Source organism: Homo sapiens, chromosome 4 (assembly GCF_000001405.40).
Source record: "Homo sapiens chromosome 4, GRCh38.p14 Primary Assembly".
Lineage (NCBI taxonomy): Eukaryota > Metazoa > Chordata > Mammalia > Primates > Hominidae > Homo > Homo sapiens.
The window spans coordinates 26,989,910-27,012,511 of record NC_000004.12 but is presented as its reverse complement, the minus strand read 5'-3'; the positions used below and the strand labels follow the sequence as shown (position 1 = coordinate 27,012,511).

The window sequence follows — 22,602 nt, the reverse complement described above, 5'->3', positions numbered from 1 at the left end:
TATAAGAAAGGTAACATATATACCTACCAAAAATTTATTAAGGTACCTAAAATTAATCTTTTTTTAAAAAAAGCAAGACCTGCACAGAGAAAATAAATTATCAATTTTACTTAAAGATAGAAAAGATCTCGATAAATGGAATTGATTAATAATTCTCCACAAATAAATTCACAAATTCAAAAAAAAATTTTTTAAACCCAATGGAACCTTTCATGGAATTTCATAAGCTGATCTTAAAATTCAGAAGATTAGTTAAGGGTAGAAATTCTGAATTTGAACAATAAAGGAAGACTTGGTCTTATCAAATATCAAAACTTTTTATAAAACTCTAGAAACTAAAGCAGAATAGGGCCAGTGAAACAAAATGGGAGAGCTGGGAGCACTTATGTATCTATGGAGAGAAGTGGTATTATAAGTCAGCAAGGATAGAACAGGAATGAAGCTGAGACAACTGTTTACCCGTATATCAAGAGATATATTTAGATTCCAACTTCACACTATGAACAAAAATAACTTCTAGGTGGATTAAAGGGCTAATGGATTAAAGAAAAACTTAAAAACTCTAAGGAGAGCAAACAACAACCTATCATCTGTTGAAAAAGACATAAAAAACACAAATCAGATTCACAATTTGCCATTCAAAAAGCCAAAGTTTAGAAGATATTTGCAACTCTCAAATAACCAGAAAATAGAAAGAACACTTCCACATCAGTATGGAATCTTGCAGGGATTCCACAGCAAGAACAAGCAACTCAGGAAGAAATCTGAACAACAAATGCCAATAAAGGAAATGGTACTCAACCTCAACAGTCATCAAGGAAATAAAAATTTTCATAATTGTGAGGTATCATTTCATACGCATTCGAGTTGCAAAACAAGTAAATCAGGTTATTCCAAGTACTGATGAGGATACAGGCACACAGGCACCCTTATAAAACAGTGGGTATGTAAACTATTTTGAGAGCAACTTGACAATGACTAGTAAAAGGTGCCTTCCCAATGACCCAGCAGTCCGTTTCTAGGTGTCCACACAGAGAAACTCTCAAAGTTATGCACAAGGAAATACAGGTAAAGATGCTTGTTGCACATTGTTTGTAAGGGCCAAGAAAGTAGAAAGTAGAAAAACGGATAAACTATGGATTTTTAAATACAATAAATAAACATATAAGTTATGGTTAACTCATTAAGCAGTGACTTTAATTCATCTCTACATAAACATGAAAAAATTTTGAAACATAACTTTTGAGCAAAAAGAGTTGTAAAATATCACCTAGTTTGATAACATTTATATACACTTCTAAACACGCAACCATTGTATATAATGTTATGGATATATATGTATGTAATAAAAGTACAACAGGCTTTAGCATAAGTCACAACTTTAAAACAGTGGGGAAGGGTAGGCAATGTGGTTTAAGTGTATTTGTAATAGTTTATTTCAGAGAAAAAGATAAAGAAAAATGTTAAAACCTGTTTATCTTTTTGGTAGGTGGGCATATTATTTTCAGTCACTTTAAGTGTGTGTGGATGGCTTTATAGGAAAGTTTAAATAAATTGTTATCACATTCTCACCAAGGAAAGCATTTAGCAGATATTTAAGAATAGGAAAAGACATTTTAAAAAGTAATAGGAAAACAACACCCATTCCCCTATCTACACAGAGCTAACCATTGATATTTTCTGTGTTTTTTCTTTCCATATAATTACACATAGACAATATTATTCTGTGTATATTGTTACAACCTTTTACTTTGTTCTTAACATACTACAGGCATGTTTCCTTGTCATTATTTCAAACTTGTAAAATTTACACATATCCATGGTAAAAAAAAAATTTTAACTGCTCAGGAGGGTATAGAAATGAAGAGCCTTCGTCCTTCCCTAGACTTCTATTGCCGAGAGTTTCCCATTTATCAGGTCCAGAAATTAGGCTTTTGTAACTAAGCAGAGTGGAGTACCTCTGTGGTGCCACTGGGTGGAGGCAGAGCTCTCAAATTGTAATCTTTGACATGAGTTATTTTTTAGAGATAATAAATCTGATCACAGCATTTCTTTCTTTTTCTTTTTTGAGACTGAGTCTTGCTCTGTCGCTCAGGCTGGAGTGCAGTGGCACAATCTCGGCTCACTGCAGCCTCTGCCTCCAGGGTTCAAGCGTTTCTCCTGCCTCAGCCTCCCGAGTAGCTGAGATTACAGGCGCACACCACCACGCCCAGCTAATTTTTGTATTTTTACTAGAGACAGGATTTCATCATGTTGGCCAGGCTGGTCTTGAACTCCTGACCTAGTGACCTGCCTGCCTCAGCCTCCCAAAGTGCCGGGATTACAGGCCACCGTGCCTGGCCTGATCACAACATTTCTAAAACATTAAATTTAAAATCAACTCTTGTACTTTTTTCTGATTTAAAAGTTTAAATTTGCCTGTATTCCACAATCACTTAAAACTAGAATAATTATTCACATTTAGTACAATTGTTTCCTTTTAACGGACATATGGATATCCAATACCTCTGCCCCCAACCCAAAAAGTGTTTTTTAAAAAGCAAAGAAAAAAACTAGTTAATCTAGATAATGCACTTTCATGCACAATTCAGATATTAAACACGGATTTTAAGGAGGAAATTCAACTTTTAAAAGCTATAGTTTTCAAACAAAAGCGTGTACTTATGAATCAGTGTTGCATTTGGCAAGCTTAAGTGCATATAATTCAAATAAACAAATACAAACTGAGAATATTCTAACTGCAGAGCTGGCCCAGATCTAGACATAACTTTGCAACCGTCATGACCTTGCAGTGTGGAGCAAGTGAAATGAATGCAGTCACACACTTCTAGTTTTGCTGTATTTACAATCTGTCCACTCTTCCTGCCTCTTTTAAGAGTTGAGTGCCGCCTCACTCTCCTTGCATTAACTGTCTGCTGTCAAACCAGAGAAGTAAAACCAGCAAAATAATACAAGTACATACCTGGAGTTAGTTAGTGGTAGAGCTAGGATTCAAATCCCTGTTTCCAAGATCTTCCCCTAATTTTTATTCCTACTATACATTAAGCGGCCATTTGAAAGGATATTTTCCCTGAATGCTCAGCACTTCATTCCCACACTGATTTGGCATTTATAGTGTGCTATCTTTACTGTCAATTATGTTTTTATATGACTCCTCATTTCAATTTAATTACAAGCAATGTTTTAAAAAAAGTCTTATATTCAACAATATAATGTTATATATAACAGTTGCTCAAATAAACACTTAATAATCAAATTTATAAAGCATTCAGATTTCTTTAAAGTGTGTGTATAAATATATAATATAAATATACACAAAGTATTGATATATGCATTGCATATGGTATTCTCAAATAGTAAATATTTAAATTACTAACAAAAAGAAAGAGAAAATGAAGGATAAACCCAATTTTTTCTCACAGATTTCGAAGTACATGATTCCTAAAAGGACATAGGAGAAAATTACTTTAAAACCTGTACCAACAATTTTTGTTGAAATTGCCACTTACCGGGAAATTGTGACACTATTGGGGGTGTGTCTTCATCTAAGTCATCAACTCCTCCAGCAATTGGATAGGGTGGAATGGAGACTCTGGGCATCACCACCCAGCTGTGATCAGAATAAAGGGAAGAGGTCAGGCTGGGGAGTCCTGAGTTATGGGCTATCTGAAAGCCACAGATCTTCTCAATTTGTTGCCAGCGAAAAAGTCGTTCTCGTAAACAAGTTGTCAACTCAGAGAGAGCTTTCCTGGAAAAGCCAATAAAGAAATTACTTACTGCATCAAAAGGTCTTTAATATGGCACTGAAAAAAGGCAATACATGAACAGACCATGGCAATTAACTAATTTCAAGAAGAAATAACCCACTCTTAAAACTAATGTAAATTATGTAATTATATAAATGATAAATATAAATTGTTCACAAATTACTCATTTTAACACAATAAACATAAATCAAATAAAAGTGAAAACAACATTCTTACTTTGCTTCCAGAATTTTGTGGTCTACCTCATCTAGGGAGGAGCTGTGTGCAACGTGCAGAGTCCCAAAGACTGTGCTTCTCTTCTTTTTAATTTTTTCTGCCTAGAAACCGAAAAGGACTAAATAAGGCTAGGTTTGAAAAAAATACAGACATTTTTGTATATATAACATAATAAAGTTTGTTTTGGTTTTGAATATATTAGCAATCATAAAACCAGTAGAGAATTACTAGCCAAGATATCCCTGCATTCCAAAAAAGAAAACAGATGAGGGAGAAAACGTGCTTTCCTAAGCCAATCGATGTAATTCAAAACTTTATTCTGGAGAATTTTTCTCTTATTTCTATGGTTCAGGAAGACCCGAATCTTGTACTAAAAGTAACAGAAGAACATTAGCTATATTATACTACAATGGTGCTAGTGAGTGAACTAAGCTTTTAAATTTTTTGGCTAGAATTCAGATTAAGACTTATTCTCATTCCACACAATTTAAGTGTCAAAGTTAATTTCCAGTAACTACTAACCTGAATCAGATATGAAGCAGCAACCTAGAGGAAAAAAGCTCTGTATAAAACTTTTATGATAATGATAAAAAAGAATAATGTTTAAATCACTAAGGTCACTTTGAAAAGTATACACTTCTCCAAATGCAGTAATTTTAATTTAAAGCTTATGATTACTAGAGTCTATTTACACAATAAGTTCCAGTTTGAAAAAAGAATCTGTAATAATAAAACTTTTATTCAGATCTGTGTATCCCAGCTGAGTAATCCCTCTAAGAATGCAGCCTAAGAAACAAATTTAGTAAATTTTGAAATACAAGAGAGTACCTCATCTTTAGCAATAGCTAGCTGCATTTCAGCGTTTTGTCTTTTAATATTGTAGTATTGCACTTCTACTTCATGTGTTAACTGAAGCCATTTCTGAAGTGCATCTGGAACAGACCAACTGCTTCTCAGTTCAAATTCTTTTTCGGCCTTTTTCAGAGCCATGCGAACCTAGAAGAAGGAAAGGAAGGAGGCAAGAAAGGAGAGAGGGAGGAAGGAAGGATTAAAATATTTTTTAGAACCCAAACTAAAAAAAAAAAAAAGCTATTTTAATTATGCTCTTTGTAAACATCGTTTTAAACTGCAAAGTCTAAATACAGTAGATTTCTAGCATTAAAATTAAGGCTGACAACAGAGCGAGACTCCGTCTCAAAAAAAAAAAAAAAATGAAGGCTGAGCTTCAAGTGCATCTTAAATCCACTAAGCAAAGTTGTGAAGGAGGGTAGAGAGGGCTTATTTATATCTTAAGTTGCAATATTTAGTTTTGTATGTTATGAAAACCAGACTCACTGAGGGGGAAAAAAAAGTCAAGGGTATATACAAATTAAAACTGATCATATTTTTCCCATAATGCATATTTCATTTATGAAGTATTATATAAAGAAATGTCCAAAATTGGGTGGATACACGTTCTACTCCTCCTCCTAATGTTTCCAGAAGAGCCTACTGTAGCTCCTTCACTATATACTCACTTTTTAAAAATTGTATTTTTCTGTAGTTTTTCATGACATCCTCTTTATGGCCAGTTATTTCTTACTGTTTCCAAGTATATCTGCCTATTATTGTCTGTTTTACCACTTCCGCTACATAATTCACTGCTTTGAATACACCAGAAACTAGCTAAGTGAACATCTGCAGAGCATGTACAGATTTTGAGAAAACAGATTCTGAGAGTCTACTTGATTTTTCTCATGAGAAACTATGCATAGTCTTCAGTATAACGATGTCATAGTATTTCTTCCACCTGCCCTTTAATGGAGCCAGACAATAAGCAGAGAAAAAACAAAAATGCTTGGTGGTTAGGTGATAAGTGCTAAGAAAAAGTATCATAAGGAAAGCCTCACTAAGGAAAGACACAAAAGGAATAGATAATTCATTCTTGGAATGATTTACTTAAAAACTAGCAAGAGCTTTCAAACTAAAGATATATAAAGACACAGGATGTAATTATGAAATTGTGCACATACACTCACACTCAAGACCTTGAGGCAAAGCTACGAGCGACTACGGAGCATCCTGCGTGTCGAGCACCACCCCGCAGATTAATTTTCCCCAAAGCTAACTAAGGACACTGAAGAGCAAAGGAATGTTTGATCTGAACAAACCCAACTTATTTGAATAAACTTTATAGTGTGCCAGAATAAACCAACAAGAGTACTATACACAAACTTCTGATAAAGAAATAGAACAGCTGTCAGTTAGTGTGAAAACAAAGAATTACGTAGAAAAATATATTTTAAGATTCCAAAATTAAAAACAAAATTCACAATGCAACACTAGGTGACAGTTCAAAAAGACACATTAAAGTAAGGGGAAGAGCACTAACTCACTGCAAACAAATCCCGAGCAACATCTGCCTACATAACTAACTGCAATGGCTTGGGACAATACTGTGTTTAATAAGTCAGTTGGGTAAGCTGTGTGGCGTCCCTGCTAATCTCTCAGGGAGATAAAATTTAAGCTCAGGTTCATGCAGACCTGCATAACACCACAAAATGTAAGTCCGCAAGCCCTTCTTCTCAGAAGATTTTAAAGCTAAAATTTCTATACAATTTTCACTTCCAAGGAATTATACAGAGAATCTCAACAAAATTCATTCAAGTTACTCTCTTTAATCATAGATTTTTCTTAATATTTCCATAAATGTATTTCCCCTAAAAGAGCTCAAAGGAAACACATTTAACATAAAAACTACTTACATATTTTTAGCATAAATTGAAGCTGAACAATGTTCAGATTGATTGCCAAATAATGACTCAAACCTGTGGAAAGTCTGACCTTCCAATAGTGGCAACTATTTAACTGTTTTCTCTGCTATTACTCATGAATGTTTCATTTGATCTAAATCCCAACCCTTAGTTTAAATCACATTGTTGTTTACAGGGGAATGAACACAGAAAAAATTGAGTAATAAACAGCTTTTGCAAACAATAAATAACTGTTTAAAATGTAATAATTATTTACATGATTTTTGTATCTTTGGAATAAAACAACAGTAAGTAAAAACATGATGTCACAAAAACAGCCTAAACATCTGAAAACTTCTTTTCTAGACCCAACTGTATTATTTTTCATCTCTGTAACCTTCAGTAAGTTCCTAAGGCTTATTGTCTCACGTATAATAGGGGTATTATCACTTGCCCTGATTAAAGGCTTCCTGAGACTTTTTCTAAGAAATTAATTTGTGAAAACTACTTAAATCACACAAAACATAAAGCAGTACTATTAGTCACCCAAAGTCTCTGTTCTAGGAAAAATAACACTATATAAAAAACATACCAGATTTTCCTGACTTCTAAATTTATGTTGATTATTCTCCAGACAAAATACAGTAATTCCTTGAACTACGTGGAATTGTGGGTTATGTCATATTATACATCATTTCTCAGTTAAACTTATTTCTACAAGCAAAGCTTTTAATAGCAGTATAAGAAGACACAGACTTTGGAATATGACACGCAAAACCTTGCCTTTACCAGTTAATAGCTGTGTAACCCAAGGCAAGTAAGTTATCTAGCCTCTCTACACAGCTCATTTGTAAATGAAGATAATACCTATGTGTTGTGAGGATTAAAATTTATGAGCAAACCACTGGCAATGTGTGTAGCATACACTTCTGGCACACAGTAAGCCCTCAGAAAATTGTGTTTCTTATTAATACGATCATGCCAGACAGTGTTCTTTTTAAAATACCAATTTCCTTCCTTTAAACCGCCTTTTATTGACCAAGGATCTAATGAGATTATTCATACCAATAATACCAATACATCACATTTTGGTAACTTCGGGGTCTACTGAGGTGTGCATGGTCTCTCTCCCAAAGCTTCAAGTTAGAATGTCCACAATTCTTGGGCCCTTTTTTTATATTGTCTCTTCTCCCTCACTGTGAGGCAGGCACCTGTGAAGTACTACCATCAGTTTATATCTCTGTAGAAGAATTCCAAACTACTGTTTTCTGATTCGCTCTTTTTTATATACAAAGTTTAGAAAGACAGAAATATACCAGAACAAACCGAGAGTTGGATGTCTTGGTGGAAAAAGGCAGGGAGTTCTTACAGGAGTGCAAAGGGCATAGTACCCACTTCTCGGATACCGTATGATTTCGACTAGGCCTTTTTTGTCAACTCCCTGATTCTTTGCTACATTCTGTGCTGATATGGTTTGTTAGTTGAATGAGGCATGACTGTAAAATACATCTAAGAGTCCTTAGAGGGAAGAGCTCCAAAAAACAGACATCTGGGGGTGTGAGAGAAGGAGTGGTTAACAGTTATAAAAAAGATGGCTGTGTTCAGTCAGACATATTCTCATAAAATGACAATCTTGAAGGAAACAGTAATGTATTCTCATGAGTTGACCTTATGTCATTCATCACTTAATTTGCATTTCTTATTTAGCACTCTATTAAGAAGGCAGCAACAGCGCATAAAACAAAGTGGAGGCAGAACACCTAAGTTCTTGCCCCTGCTTTATAACTGAGTCACCTCTAATTTTGAGCAAGTTTTATAATCCTCATTTTGTTCTTCAGTTTCATTATCAGTAAAGAAAGCATCAAAGTCAGAAGGAGGAGATGAGACCACAGAAGTAGAGGCTGGAATGATGGGCTTTCAAGACAGACGAAGGGGCATGAGCTGAGAAATGTGGGTGGCCTTTACCAGTGGAGAAGGCAAGGAAACACGTCCTCCCCTACAGCCTGCAGAGGGAACACAGTCCTGCAGGCTCGCCTCAACTCACTCTGACCTCCAGAACTTTACGATGATAAATTTCTGTTTATTTAAACCACTAAGTTTGTGGCTTTTTTTTTTCTTTTTACAGCAGGAACAGGAAACTAATGCATCTGTCTATAATTAAATTCTGCCAGCACCTCACCTTCTCCAAAGGACTCCGTGCAATGCCTAAATGCCTATATTCTATCTTAAGTAACTGAACAGGAGAAGCAGGTATTGGAAAGGAGCTTCAGAACTTTTAGCAGATTATGTTCTAAAACTATTTAACAGGATTCAAATGGATGTTTAATAGAGATCCTTTACCTTTGCAGAGAAGTTCAAAATTAGATATACTTTATATCTTACTACATTATAGTCAGAAACTTAAACATATTACAGATGTTAAACAAACACCTTAAATTTACTCAAGACAGTGAAGATGGCAAGGTAAGATTTCATGAATGAGTGAACATGATGGTAACTATCTTTCAGTTACTACTGTGTTATTTTGCTATATGAACTTTGATCAATGCTAACAACATAAACAAATGAGTCTTTTATCAACTGAGGAACTACAGTGGAACTAAATGTAGGAAACTGAAGAAAAACAGGACCTGGCTCCTCAGAGTGGCAATGTTAACATCTTTACAAGTGATTTTTTTTTTAATGTAAATACCTGTTCCAATTCCTGTTCTGCATACTGACGTCTACTCAATTCACATTCAGCTCCCTCCCTTAGCTCTCTCAGCCGACAAGCCTCCTCCTTTGCATAATTGATTTCATCCATCATTTTGCGCTCTAAATTTTGCTTTTCTACAGCAACATTTCTGTTTTCTTCCTGTGCCTTTTCAAGCCTTATAGAACAATAAAAATAAAAATTCCTCACAAAAATTTCCAGTTTTATTTTTTTTTACAAAATAATGAATACTGGGTCAAGCGATTAAATACATATTTCAATCAGAAATCATAGCATTTTTCATTAGCCTTAAGTTTGGTTAATACAAATATCAGGCAACTTACTATACAGCTATTTTGGTTATCCTGGGTTCAAATGACAGGGAAAGCAGGGAAATACTCTTCCGCAAAAAGCTTTTCAAAAATTCCTAATTATTTAAATCAAGTTAAAAATAAAATTTAACTACACATCTAATTCCACTATATTTGACTTACCTCCACTGTTCTTCTACTCATTTATTCTCAAGTATACACATTTATAATAAATCTGTAATTATAAAAGTATACTTTTCTAAAAATGTGAAATCAAATATGCATCTATTCCTGATGTGTATAATAACCTAAATGTAAGTATTTAAGCACATGCCCATATCACTTTTTTTACAAATTGTATTTGCCTACATAAATGAGTTATGATTTTTCTGAACTTACCTCTCCTGTAAGTCCATTAGACTTTGCTCTGCAGTTTGTAAGCTCTCTAAATCTTTCATCATTTTTGCAACATGTTCTTTTGATGTCTTATTCTGCGTATAAGCAAACCAGCAGCCTCCAACACCAATTACTATAGAAACTGTGAGGATAAAATCTTTCATCCAGTTATGAGGTGGGCCTATTAAAAGAATTACAGATGATTAAATTAATCTTTGAGTATGACAGGACCTCAATACAAAAAGACATTTTTTAAGTAGTATCTAAAACAAAACCAAAAATTGGAGATCTCTTTCCCATGCACAAGCTCTAGCCTTTTAAAATTCTTTCTTCAAATAATGACTGTGCTTCTTGTAACTCTTTGATATACTAGACTTATAGAAGGGCAGAGGTAAACCCATATAGACACACCACGCCCCTGCTGGTGGGAGAAGGAGTGGTCAAAGTCATGGGGACCCTTGAAAAAGCAACAGCACCTCCAATCATATGCTGCCAGAATGGTCCTCTGTGGGGTGAAGGGAGTCATCAAAAGTATCACCACCATCATCCCAACTCCCTTCCTTCAGTCAAGCTAGGCAGCTGTCACGTTTCTCTCACACTTATAAACCTGATCACTCACCAAAATGTATTTTCCCCAAGGAGGCAGCTATATAACTAATTAGGTTAGGTTAATCAGTGGTTCTCAAGGCTGGTGATAATTCCTCACCCACCCCTAGCAGACATTTGACAATTTTGGGTTGTCTCAACTTGGGGGAGTGGTTACTGGCACCTAGTGGGCAGACATCAGAAGTATTGCTGAACACCCTACAGTGCGCAAGACAACCTCCTCCCTGTGTCCCCTCTGCGGATGACAAAGACTTAACCAGAAACTATCCAGCCCAAAGAGTGACTAGTGCTAAGGCTGATAAAGCCTGGGTTAAATAGTAATAACAATTATTCAGTTTTAGGTGTCTATATGCCAGAGATATGGGGGTTACTGGTATGATGTTAACCCCCAGCCTTATGTCTAAAACAAAGAGTGAGGAGCCAGGGCCTACTGCCTTCAGTGATACAAAACACAGAAATCACTATTCAGATTTCCTGATTTAGCCCAGTCAGTACACACTAATTTTCACGGGGCTCTCTCGAACAGAGACACAATGATAGCTAATATATTATTTTAATGCTCCAAAGAGATACAGCTCACAGTGAAAAACTGCCTAAATGCCCAGGCCTCCGGCAGAAACATATTTTGAAGTTTGGTGACATAAAAGAGTTCTACAGAAGTTCCTAGGCTGACAAGTCTGGGGTTTGGCTATGTTTGTGTAGTGTGATATGTAGCATGCTCTATGTCAGAGACTCTCAGTTCTCCACATTGCCAGAGTGTACACCTTCACCCTTCCACCTGTAGGGGAAGAAATGTACTGCTGAAAGCTACAATCTCAAAAGCATTTTTTATTTCTGCCTCACACTGAGATGTTCAATTCAGGTTCTCCTTCAACTGTGAGCCCTATTCTCTGACCATAAATAACAATAAATAGATAAATAAGGTCCTACACTCAATAATAAGCACCACAGACTGGAAAAGATTAAAAAAAAAAAAACTTTAAAATGTATCTCTGTTCATTTGACAATGCTGGTTTTTAAAATAAATCTAACATAAGTGTTCTGACTATGGGGCACATTCACTCAACCATTCTAAGACAAACATATTTAAAATCATTAACTTTTTAATTGGTTTATTTAAATATTTGTTTACAATCTTTTTTGAGACTAGTTTGATTTCTTTTCAAATGACTTGGTAATATAATTTTTGGGGCTTAGAAAGGGGTTAGTTCCAAGATTAATAAAATATGAGTATTCCTGATCAAGTTGTAAATAGAAACAAATTCTATACTTTAATTCCTATTTTTACCAACCACTCACATGAGAAAAATTGGACAGAATCCCACAGAAGACAATCCCCCAATGGATTCAGTCTGGAAGTGAGGACAAGGAAAAGGTTGGAAAGGGCATCATCTCTATGGAACGCTCGGCATTTCAGTAGTGTTCTATTTCCTAGGGTTTGTAATTTCCACCAACAGTGCATTTCCACCAGCTCTCATATGGGGAGTTCCAGCTGTTTCACCAGCTGCTCTTTTAGCCCAAGCCAAAAAAGAACCACCAGTAAAGTCATAAAATCTATTCAACCAATTCTAGTTACCCTTTTTTAGAAGGGCCATTCCCAAGATGGTATCATAGAAACCTGAAAATCTCCTAACTCCAAGAATTCAGGGAGAATAAACATTAGTTTCCTACTTTATAACTTGTGGAAGGCATTTTTCTTGTATTAATTTTGTTATACTTTTTTGACTAAAAAAAAAAAACATAATTCCTTTAAAAGGTGTACTTTTCAAACACTTTCTCCCAAAGCTTTCTGAAAAAATTGAAATTAAATAAAACAAACATATTAAATTTCTCTTCTGGGGAAAAAATATTCCTGTCAAAGTAAATAAATACAAGGTTTATTTTCTTTACAGATATTGCATAACACTTTCTCAAATGTTTCTCTTCAAAACAATCAAATAACATTTTCTACTTCTTGCTCCTGCCAGTAGAGTTTGTTAATTTATAAAGCTTCAAGTGAGTCTTTGCTTTCCATCTATACCTAAAAATCCATTTTCTTGGTGTTTAGTGAAAACTGTTAGGCTCTATTGCTTCATGCCATCAAGATGGTTAGACTATATTATTTTTTAAGAGATTCCTCAGTGAATATCCAATTATAGTAACATCAACATTAAAACTCCTCCAAAGATCCAAAGTTTTAAATCTAAAAATTCTAAATTAACAGCTAAATATAGTTTTTTATATAACTTCTTACATTAGTAACCAGCTTTGAAAATTTCACACTCATGTTTCAATGACAGAAAATCCTATCTTATAAATCTTTTAAGGTAGTATTACACTTCTTTCACAGGTAATAGATGATTCTTCTTAGAGGCCTACTATCTTATTTTTCTCTTTCCTTAAATAACACAGAGATGATCAGGATATTCTTTTACATCATCCTCTGAGTGAGAGAGAATACTAACGTGTTAGAGGTCCAAACAAAACCACATCCAATGCCTTGAGCTGAAGTTTTTGTCTGTGACTCCGGTCACTGATTTTCAACTGGGAGATCATAAATGAAGGTTCGTGCACTGCTATCCTGTTTATTTGAAAAACACACACACATATATATATATATTAAATGAAAATATTTCTAGTATACAAATTTAAATATTTGAGCAACACATTTAACACTTTACATATTATTGATGATCACTGTTGGAGCTCATCCATGTGTGATTTAATAATTTGTTACATGTTTCAAAAACCTCTTCAGTGCAAACTTAGCTGTAGAAAGACTCCTGTATGTTAATAATTTAGTAGCTACATTGAAAAAGTTTTGGTTTTCTAAGGTTACTTTCTGTTATGACTTACTATGATTTAGAAATTTATAAAGTTGAAAAAAAAATTTTTTTTTTTGAGACAGAGTCTCATTCTGTCACCCAGGCTGGAGTGCAGTGGTTCGATCTCGGCTCTCTGCAACCTCCGCCTCCCGGGTTCAAGCAATTCTCCTGCCTCAGCCTCCCAAGTAGCTGGGACTACAGGCACGTGCCACCACGCCTGGGTAATTTTTTGTATTTTTAGTAGAGATGGGGTTTCACCATGTTGGCCAGGATGGTCTCGATCTCCTGACCTCGTGATCCGCCCGCCTCAGCCTCCCAAAGTGCTGAGATTACAGGCATGAACCACCGCTCCCAGCCTAAAGTTGAAAATATTTTATAGTCATTAATTACTTCTGTCACTTATTATCCTTTCACAAAGGATAATAAAACCATAAGTAACTTAATTTAACATCTATAGCAGACTTTAAAAAACAATTAAGTTTTCAATTTAGATCATATTGATTTTCTTTAAAAGTATCAAAAAATCTATACTTTTAACATTCTAATGTTTAACTGTTTAAAAATTGAACAAAGTACATTGAAGTCACAAGTGGGAAATAAAAAGCCTTCATGGATTGAGGTAGGTAGGTAGAGGAATTTATATAATAATAAGTACTAAACCATTTTATTAGCTATGAAGAAAGCACGTAGGAGGCACAGGTAAAATAAGGAAATAAAATCACTTTATTATGGACTGTAAATACAAGCAACCCAGTACTCAACTAAGATTTCTTAACAACCAAGTATGATGCTAGTAAAGATTTCATTACACAAAGTCTAATAATAATAACAATGACAATAAACACAGGCATATAATATATGCTGGGTCCTGTACCAATGGCTTAATACTCAAGAAAACCTTATAATAGTATTTCCATTTTATAGGTGAAGATACTTGTGAGAGGTTGAGTAACTTGCCTAAGGTTACATAATTAGTAATAGGTAAGGCAAGGATTCAAACCCAAATATGTACGATTCCAAAGACTACTTTGAAACACTACATTTTGTATAGAAAGATATCAGTACTCTCTAAGTATGGAAAAATTACAGGAACTCCTATGAGGCTTCTATAAAACCTTAAAGAGCAAAGAACTGTAACATTCCCTCTCTGAAATGCCTTCCTTTATCTTCTCCACAGGTACTTTCGTATAATGCTTCCCTTACACCTTTAACATGACACTTATCAAATTGCATGAAGGCAAAGACTATGTCGTATCTCTGTATCCCCAAAGCCTAATGTAGTACTTGCCAAAAGTAGAAGCTTGATAAATGTTTGTATAATAGCTGAATGAATGTATGTAGGTATGGATGCATGAATTAATAGCAAACTATCAATAGACTAAGAAAGACAATGAGATGTAGTAAAAAAGAAAATACATAACAAAATTTTATGCGAGATTCAATATGAGTCCAGAGGTAAAAATGATTCCACCTGAGTGGGTGAGGGTGTCAGGGAAGGCCACATAGGCCTGAAAGAAATGAGGTGGTATGTGTCAGGTGAAGACAGCCTTAGTATAATGTTTGGCAGTAAGAATTACAGAGTATAGAAAACACAGCGAAAGGTTTAAGATAACCACTACAGCCAACATAAAACATAGTTTTGGCTACCTTTAGCAAATGTAAAGGGTTTTAATGTCACAGAAAAGAAACATCATAATGGACTGTTGTAGGCCAACTATCTATAGAATATGTAATACATTTTCTTATACATTCTTGTAACTAGTTCTTATGTCTACAGATACCATACAAAGAGCTCTGGAACTTACATAATAATTGAAATTAATTGATATTGCCCCTTTAAGTTGACTCATCTAATTTCCATTACTATATAATAGGGGCTTAAGGAAGAGTTTACTGTTCTCCTTTCTCCTCCACTAAAAAAGGTTCCAATGGGCTGACCTGAAAACTGAAGTTATAATGTTTTTCTATAGTAACATGTTCACTATTTAAGGAGTTGATCTTGACAAGTGTGTGATGTCACAATTTTACCAGAATTGGAAGCATCTCTGATCATCTTTACTTAACCAAAGGAAATGAGTAGCTATAACACTGACTGTCAAAACTCAGATTAGCCTATTTTATTTCATGTTGTTGTTAAACAAACAAGTTTCTCAAAAGGCAACAAGAAAATTCCTATTGTTCCTCATACCCAGGGCAACATATATAAATAAATAAATTCTAATCTCATTTTAATGTTTGACTCTGTTTTAATTTAAGAACTTGTTTTAATTAAAATAACTATATTTTATTTGATTTTTGTCTTCTTTCAAGCATCTAGTTGTACCATGAACATAAAAGATATTCAGTAAGTACTTATCAAATTGACTCTTATCCCTATAATTTCATCATTCTAGTCATGTGTATAATAAAATCAGAAATACTAATGTTGATGTTCAGAATACATTTAAAACAGATTTGAAAACTTTCAACTTGATCAAAATACAAACCTCAAAGCAACAAAGGATACTTATCTAAATAGGGCATGTAAGGAAGTTGACTAGGGACACAATGTATATATTTCATTACATATAATGATTAGATTGTAATAACTGATTAGAGTCTTTTTGGATGTAGGAAATCATCCAGGGAAAAATAAAACTTAAGAAGCAATCTTGTAAGGGTAAAAAATTCTGGTAGAATCATTGCAAATTTTGACATTTAAATCCTTCAAGATTATTAAGTTAATTAAATTAATTAAAAATTATAATTTCTAAATTATATCATTTGGTACTTGCAAATGATACAATTTAGATATAATTTAGAAAATAAAATTTAGAGAACAACTGGATTCAGACACCTAAGGGATAAACTGGCAACCTGGACTTTGCTATCAAATCTATCTGGGTTTAAATGCTGCCTTGGGCAAAATGTTTAACTTGTCTCTGACTTGGTTTTTTTAACCTGTAAAATGGGAAGGACAATATATACCTCATTTTAATCATGAGGGTTAAATGAGATAATATAAAGTACTTCTATGTAGCATACATTTTAAAATGGTTGCTATTTTTTATTAATTTCATTTTTAAAATTCAGGTATAACGTATAGACGCCATAATTCGATGGTTATTGTCATTTAAAATGTCACAAGAAAGAGACGCACATTAATTCATTCAAGTAGATGTGTTCATAAAAATGAATCAGTATCAAATAAAAAAGTTTTTCTTAGATTGGCCAAAAGTTGACCCTTGATGTTATTTACAAATGATATAGTTGACCCATCTTCTGAAACTCAAAATCATGTTCCTTGGAAATAATTTTTCCAAGAGCCTGATTATTTAGACAAGAAAAATTGATTAAAACTTGAAAATGCATAATTTAGAAAGATTAAAGAATGGATATATTTATATTTCCTTTGTGCCCTCAGCCACGGAAGTAACTTGTAGATTCAGTATGGGGAAATGACATCTAGCATATAATTCTCCCTGAGTGGAAAATACATTTGCATAACAAAGACTCACCTGGGAAGTGTCGTTCCTTTGACATTGTTGTCTCTAAAATTCTTCTCATATTGGGGTAGTTCAACAAACTCTATCAACCACTGAAGAGTGTCTTCAAGGGTCCAATTATGAACTGCAGGAGATAAAAGGGGAATGCATATTTTAAACACACCTGCTTTCAGAAATACATATTCTATAATTTCAGAGAATATAAAGATATTAGATTGCATTTTCAATTTAATCAACATTAAGTACCAAAACTGTATCTAGCACTCTATGAGAAGAAGAAAGCCTTACAATCAAAAACAGAAGTGATAGTAAAAGCAATTAGGACAAAGATTAGCATGATTAATTCGAAAATAAACACCTATACAAGTTTGTAAGAATGAAATAATCTATCATTTTTCTGGTTGTAGAAAATTACCAGATACATACTTGTTCATTCTTTCATCTAGCCATCCACCCATATAGTATTGTAATACCGAAAACATTCTGAATACCAGATTTCATTCTAAGCACTGGGCATATGGCAGTGAATAAAACGGATAAAGTCCTTGTATGGAACTTAAATTCCTTTGGGTTTGGGGAGGGGCACTTTATGAAAGAAGGAAGAAGAGGAAGGGAAATTTCAGATAGTGATTAACTTAAGAAAAGCAGGAAAGATGTCAGGGTAAGCCTCTCTAAGGAGCTGACATCTGAGACCTAAAAATTGCAAGGAGTCCCATTGTGAAGACATGGGTGAAAAATATCCCAAAGAGAGGAAAAGGCTGTAAAAAAAAGCCTTCAGATGGAATGAACTAGCAGTGTTTGAGAGACTGGCAGAAAGTCAGAGAGGAGCTAGGTCATGAAAGGCTTTCAAGAACTCTGGACAGTTTTCTAATTTCAATAAAAAGAAGGGGAATAATCTTTTTTTAGAATGTTGTTCTTCAATGTGGAGAATAGATTGTTCATGATAAGACTAAAAATGGTCCAGTCTTATCATGAAATACGGAGAAATAAGAAGACCATTCCTTATATAATTGCCTAGACAGGAAAGGGTCATCATCTTAGACTATGATAGTAGTAGATAAGATGACAACAAGGAGTCAGATTCAGGATATATTCTGGGGATAATGCTATTAAGATGCGCTGATGAAATGGACAGGGGCTGGTAGCTAAACAAAAGCCAAAAGTACAGAGGGTGCTACCATTAACTGAGATAGAAAAGAATGGGGAGGAAAAGATTGGGGAAACGAGCAGGGGCCGGTGACAGAGATCAAAAGTTGTTTTAAGACACGTTATGTTTGAAGTATGCATTTGACATTTAAGTGTAGATAATAGAGCAGCAGTCAGATCTGCAAGTCTGGAGCTTAGGAAAAAGTGAGGTTAGGAACAGAGGTATTGGTGGGAAGTCACCAACATACAGATGATCTTTAGACTAAATGACATCAACCAGAAAAGACAGCTATTAATAGATTCTAGAAGACTGGACCTAAATCAAGAATAAAATAACTAGCATCTCTTCTCCTGGATATTTATTTTAAATTAAGTCCTTTGTATGCATTTTCTTAAGTCTTAAAAAAAACTTACGAGGTTCTAACATAATTATCTTTATTTTGGAAGTTAAAAACTAAAAAGCTAATGGAACCAACAAAGTAAGCAGCAGGACTGGATTTGAACTCAGGCAAACTGTTCACAGAACAAAACTTTATACTACTCTGAAAGTAGTAATACTAAATAACAGTAAAGATATAAACAAGCAGTTAAGCGCTGGACGCAGTTCAGAGGTTTCTGCTTATGAAGAGTAATGATGAGTTTATGCAAAGGGAAGGATGTAAGTGTGCTTACAAATGAATAGTTCTATACTGTCTGCATTTAATTTGAGGGTTAATGCTTATAGACTACAGAAGAGATCAAGGGAGAGTGAAGAAAACGTGAGCAATAAAAGCAGATCTGGGAATCCATCTGTATATAAATAAATCTGAAAAAAATCTTTCTGATAAGCTACATAAAAATATGAATTCATACTTGCAAGCAAAGCTAGGTTTCCATCAATCTGCCTTTTTTATTAAGTGTTCTTTAGAGAAAAAGCTTAAATAAACCACAAACAAAAACCAAAAACATTTAAAACTAGATGTGGTAACTGATAGTTTTATATTGAAACAAAGCCTTGACTGTTCTCCCCTTCATGTGTTCCTACCATAAAACCTGGACATGGGCCTGAGGCTGCTGTATCCATTTAACCAAGTAACAGGATGTCAGCTGAAGGTTCAGGCCCTGGGTGTTTTCCACTGAATTTAGTGCATTCAAAGTAGACTTTTTACTCTTAAGTTTCTTCCTATTCAAGATGAACTGCATTGAGAATTGCCCTGTCCTCACTGCCAAAAAACTCATGGTGCAGCTGTACCTCACACGCCCACACAAAATCCCCAGCCAAGAAAACAAGATAAGATTCTCTCTATGACTGTTCAACAGTGAAAATTCCTGATCTAAACACTTCAGCACATCAAAGTCATCCCACAATTTCCAGTAAGTCAGTACAGAAAGGAAGAAAAATCAAATGAAAAAGAACATATTAAAACTGCCCAAATCTTAGTAATACTCTGCTTAGCAAATTGAAAATTGTAGTGGTCTTGACAACGAATCTTTAAAACAACAGATCTAACAGAACCATTTATTTTGGGGGGAGATTCACTTCTCCTTTTGCTGTGGTTTCCTTGGTGATACTTAGTAAACACCTTCACTTCTCTTCTCATGACCAGGACTTGCATTTTTTATTAGCATTCTCTGTTCCAAATACTCTAGTTGTCTTTCATTTCTTAGGACAGATCATACTATGTCCTTCTTCAGGGCCTCTGTACGTGCTGTTTGCTGAGTATAAGCTCCTTTTTGCTATCCCTCCACCTTTTTGTTTCATTAAACCTTCATATCTCAGCTAAAACTTTAATTCTTCAAGTGAACCTTTCTGAACATTACTATATAACCTTTTTTTTCCTTTTTTTGTAGAGATAGGGTCTTGCTATGTTGCATAGGCTGATCTCTTGAACTCCTCTGCCTCTCAAAGTGCTGAGATTACAGGTATGAGACACCACACCCAGCCCCTGATTATTAATCCCTTAGTAGCTTTTATGCATAGCATTTAAATAACTATAACTACTTATCTGTATGATTGTTACTTCAACAACTGTTTATTTCAGTAAAGTATAAGTCTTCTGCTCATCACTCTAACCCTAGCACTTGGTATAAAGGCACTCAACAAATTATTTGTTGGATGCTGTTGAATGACGTAGAACATGTTTAATTAATAAGTCTTATGAAAATCTAATTTTACATTTTAATGGTGAGACAAGGATTTGTATGTATAAGAAATTCTTTTTTAACATTTTCTAAATTTCAATAGCTTTTGGGGTACAAGCGATTTTTCATTACATAAGAAATTCTTGATGGTAAAAGAATTACTCATTTAAGAATTATCTGGTTCCTTATTACCTGCCTCTCACTGATCTTTTATAGATGCTGTTGCTAAACAACACTTCCATCAGAGGGCAAGCAGAGAGAGATACACCATTCCTTTTAAAGGTATCTTTCCCAATCTGCAGAGCTACAGAAATGCCAGCTTCTAAAATGTTAACTTATATTGTTTCTGCTTGAAGTTGTGGCCAGTGCTACAGGTCAGTGTCTCAAAGGGATTTTTGGCAATTTATTCTAAGACTAATGAAAAGAACTCTGGAATGGAAACAGACCTGATTTTACTCCCAGCTGTGCCACTGATTCAGGATAATATCATAGCCACATTATTTAACTACAGCTCAGATTCTCTTTTTTAAATTGATGTTATACATATGTTGGGAGTACATATGGTATTTTGATACACGTATACAATGTGTGATGATCAAATCAGGGTAACTGAGATATCCATCACCTCAAACATTTATCTTTTCTCCATGTTGGAACCATTATAATTATCTTCCAGCTATTTGGAAACACACAATAAATTACTGTTAACTTTAATTTCCCTACTTTAGTATCAAATACTAGAACTTATTACTTCTACCTAACTGCATTTTTGTACCCATTAACCAACTTCTCTTCATTCCCCTCTTCGCTTCCCAGCCTCTGGTAACCACCATTCTACTCTCTACTTCCATAAAATCCACTTTTTTAGCTCCTATATCTGAGGAAGAACGTGTGATATTTGTCTTTCTGTGCCTGGTTTATTTCACTTAACATAATGATCTTCAGTTCCATTTTGCTGTAAATAACGGGATTTTATTCTTTTTTATGGCTGAATAATATTCCATTGTGTATACATACCACATTTTCTTTATCCATCCACCTGATGATGGACACTTAGGTTGATTCCACATCTTGCCTATTGTGAATAGTGCTGCAGTAAACATGAGAGTGCAGGTATCATTTGGAACAATGATTTCCTTTCTTTTAGACATATATTCAGCAGTGAATCTGCTGAATCATATGCTAGCTCTATTTTTAGTTTTTTTGAGAAACCTCCATACTGTTTTCCTTAATAACTGTACTACTTTACATTCCCACAAATAGTATGTAAGAGTTCCCCTTTCTCCACACCTTCAACAGCATTTGTAATTTTTTGTCTTTTTGATAACAGCCATTCAAACTGGAGTGTGATAATATCTCATTGTAGTTTGGATTTGCATTTCCCTGATGATTAGTGATGCTGAACATTTTTTCGTATACCTGTGGGCCACTGGTATGTCTTTATGCCTACTCAGGTCTTTTGCCCATTTTTTACTCAGATTATTTGTTTTTCTGCTATTGAGCTGTTTGAGTTCCTTATATATTCTGGTTATTAATCTCTTGTCAGAAGGATAGTTTGCAAATTTTCTCCCACCCCATAGGTTGTCTCTTCACTTTGTTCATTGTTTCCTTTGCCATGCAGAAGCTTTTTAGCTTGATACAATCCCATTTGTCTGTTTTTGCTTTTGTTGCCTATGCTTTTCAGGTCTTAACCCAAAAAGCTTCTTGTCCAGCCTAATGTCCTGAAGCCTTTCCTCAATGTTTTCTAATAGTTTCAGATCTTACATTTAAGTCTTTAATCAATTTTGAGTTGATTTTTGCATATGGTAGAGATCTAGATTCATTCTTCTGCATAGAGATATCCAGTTTTCCTAGCACCATTTATTAAACAGACCATTCCTTCCCCAATGCACATTTTGGGTGCCTTTGTTGAAAATGAGTTGGCTAAAAGTGTATGGATTTATTTCTGGGTTCTCTATTCTGTTTCGTTGGTATATGTGTCTGTTTTTATGCCGGTACCATGATGCTTTGGTTATTATAGCTTTGTAATATAATTTGAATTCAGGTAGTGTGATATCTCCAGCAGTGTTCTTTTTGCTCAAGAATTGCTATAGATATTCATGGTCTTTTGTGGTTTCATACAAATTTTAGGATTTTTTTTTCTATTTCTGTGAAGGATATAATTGGTATTTTGATAGGGATTGTATTAAATCTGTAGATCACTTTAGGTAGTAAAGACATTTTAACAAGATGAATTCTTCCAATCCATAAGCATATCTTTCCTTTTTTGTGAATCCTCTTCAATTTCTTTAATCAGTGTTTTATAATTTTCTTTGTAGAGATTTTT

At 34.4% G+C, this 22,602-nt stretch overlaps 1 protein-coding gene across 3 annotated transcripts in view, besides 1 other annotated feature; it reads right to left on the bottom strand.

Moving 5' to 3' along the window:
* STIM2 (stromal interaction molecule 2) overlaps positions 1-22,602 on the bottom strand; it is a 164,541-nt gene that overhangs the window by 12,870 nt on the left and 129,069 nt on the right. For 2 of the 3 annotated variants that reach the window (NM_001169117.2, NM_020860.4), the window contains exons 4-10: positions 17,022-17,133; positions 13,165-13,280; positions 10,118-10,295; positions 9,408-9,585; positions 4,812-4,979; positions 3,984-4,084; positions 3,510-3,748 (exon numbers count right to left, since the gene is read on the bottom strand). In NM_001169117.2, coding sequence (NP_001162588.1) covers positions 3,510-3,748; positions 3,984-4,084; positions 4,812-4,979; positions 9,408-9,585; positions 10,118-10,295; positions 13,165-13,280; positions 17,022-17,133 — 1,092 coding nt within the window. Of the gene's footprint in view, positions 1-3,509; positions 3,749-3,983; positions 4,085-4,505; positions 4,530-4,811; positions 4,980-9,407; positions 9,586-10,117; positions 10,296-13,164; positions 13,281-17,021; positions 17,134-22,602 lie in introns of all 3 variants that reach the window. The other variant, NM_001169118.2, reaches the window with a different exon arrangement.
* Positions 11,516-11,575: a silencer, noted in NCBI's record as "silent region_15342". NCBI's record gives its function as "represses an Ori minimal core promoter by ATAC-STARR-seq in GM12878 lymphoblastoid cells {active_cell/tissue: GM12878}" and the evidence as "EXISTENCE:reporter gene assay evidence [ECO:0000049][PMID:35858748]".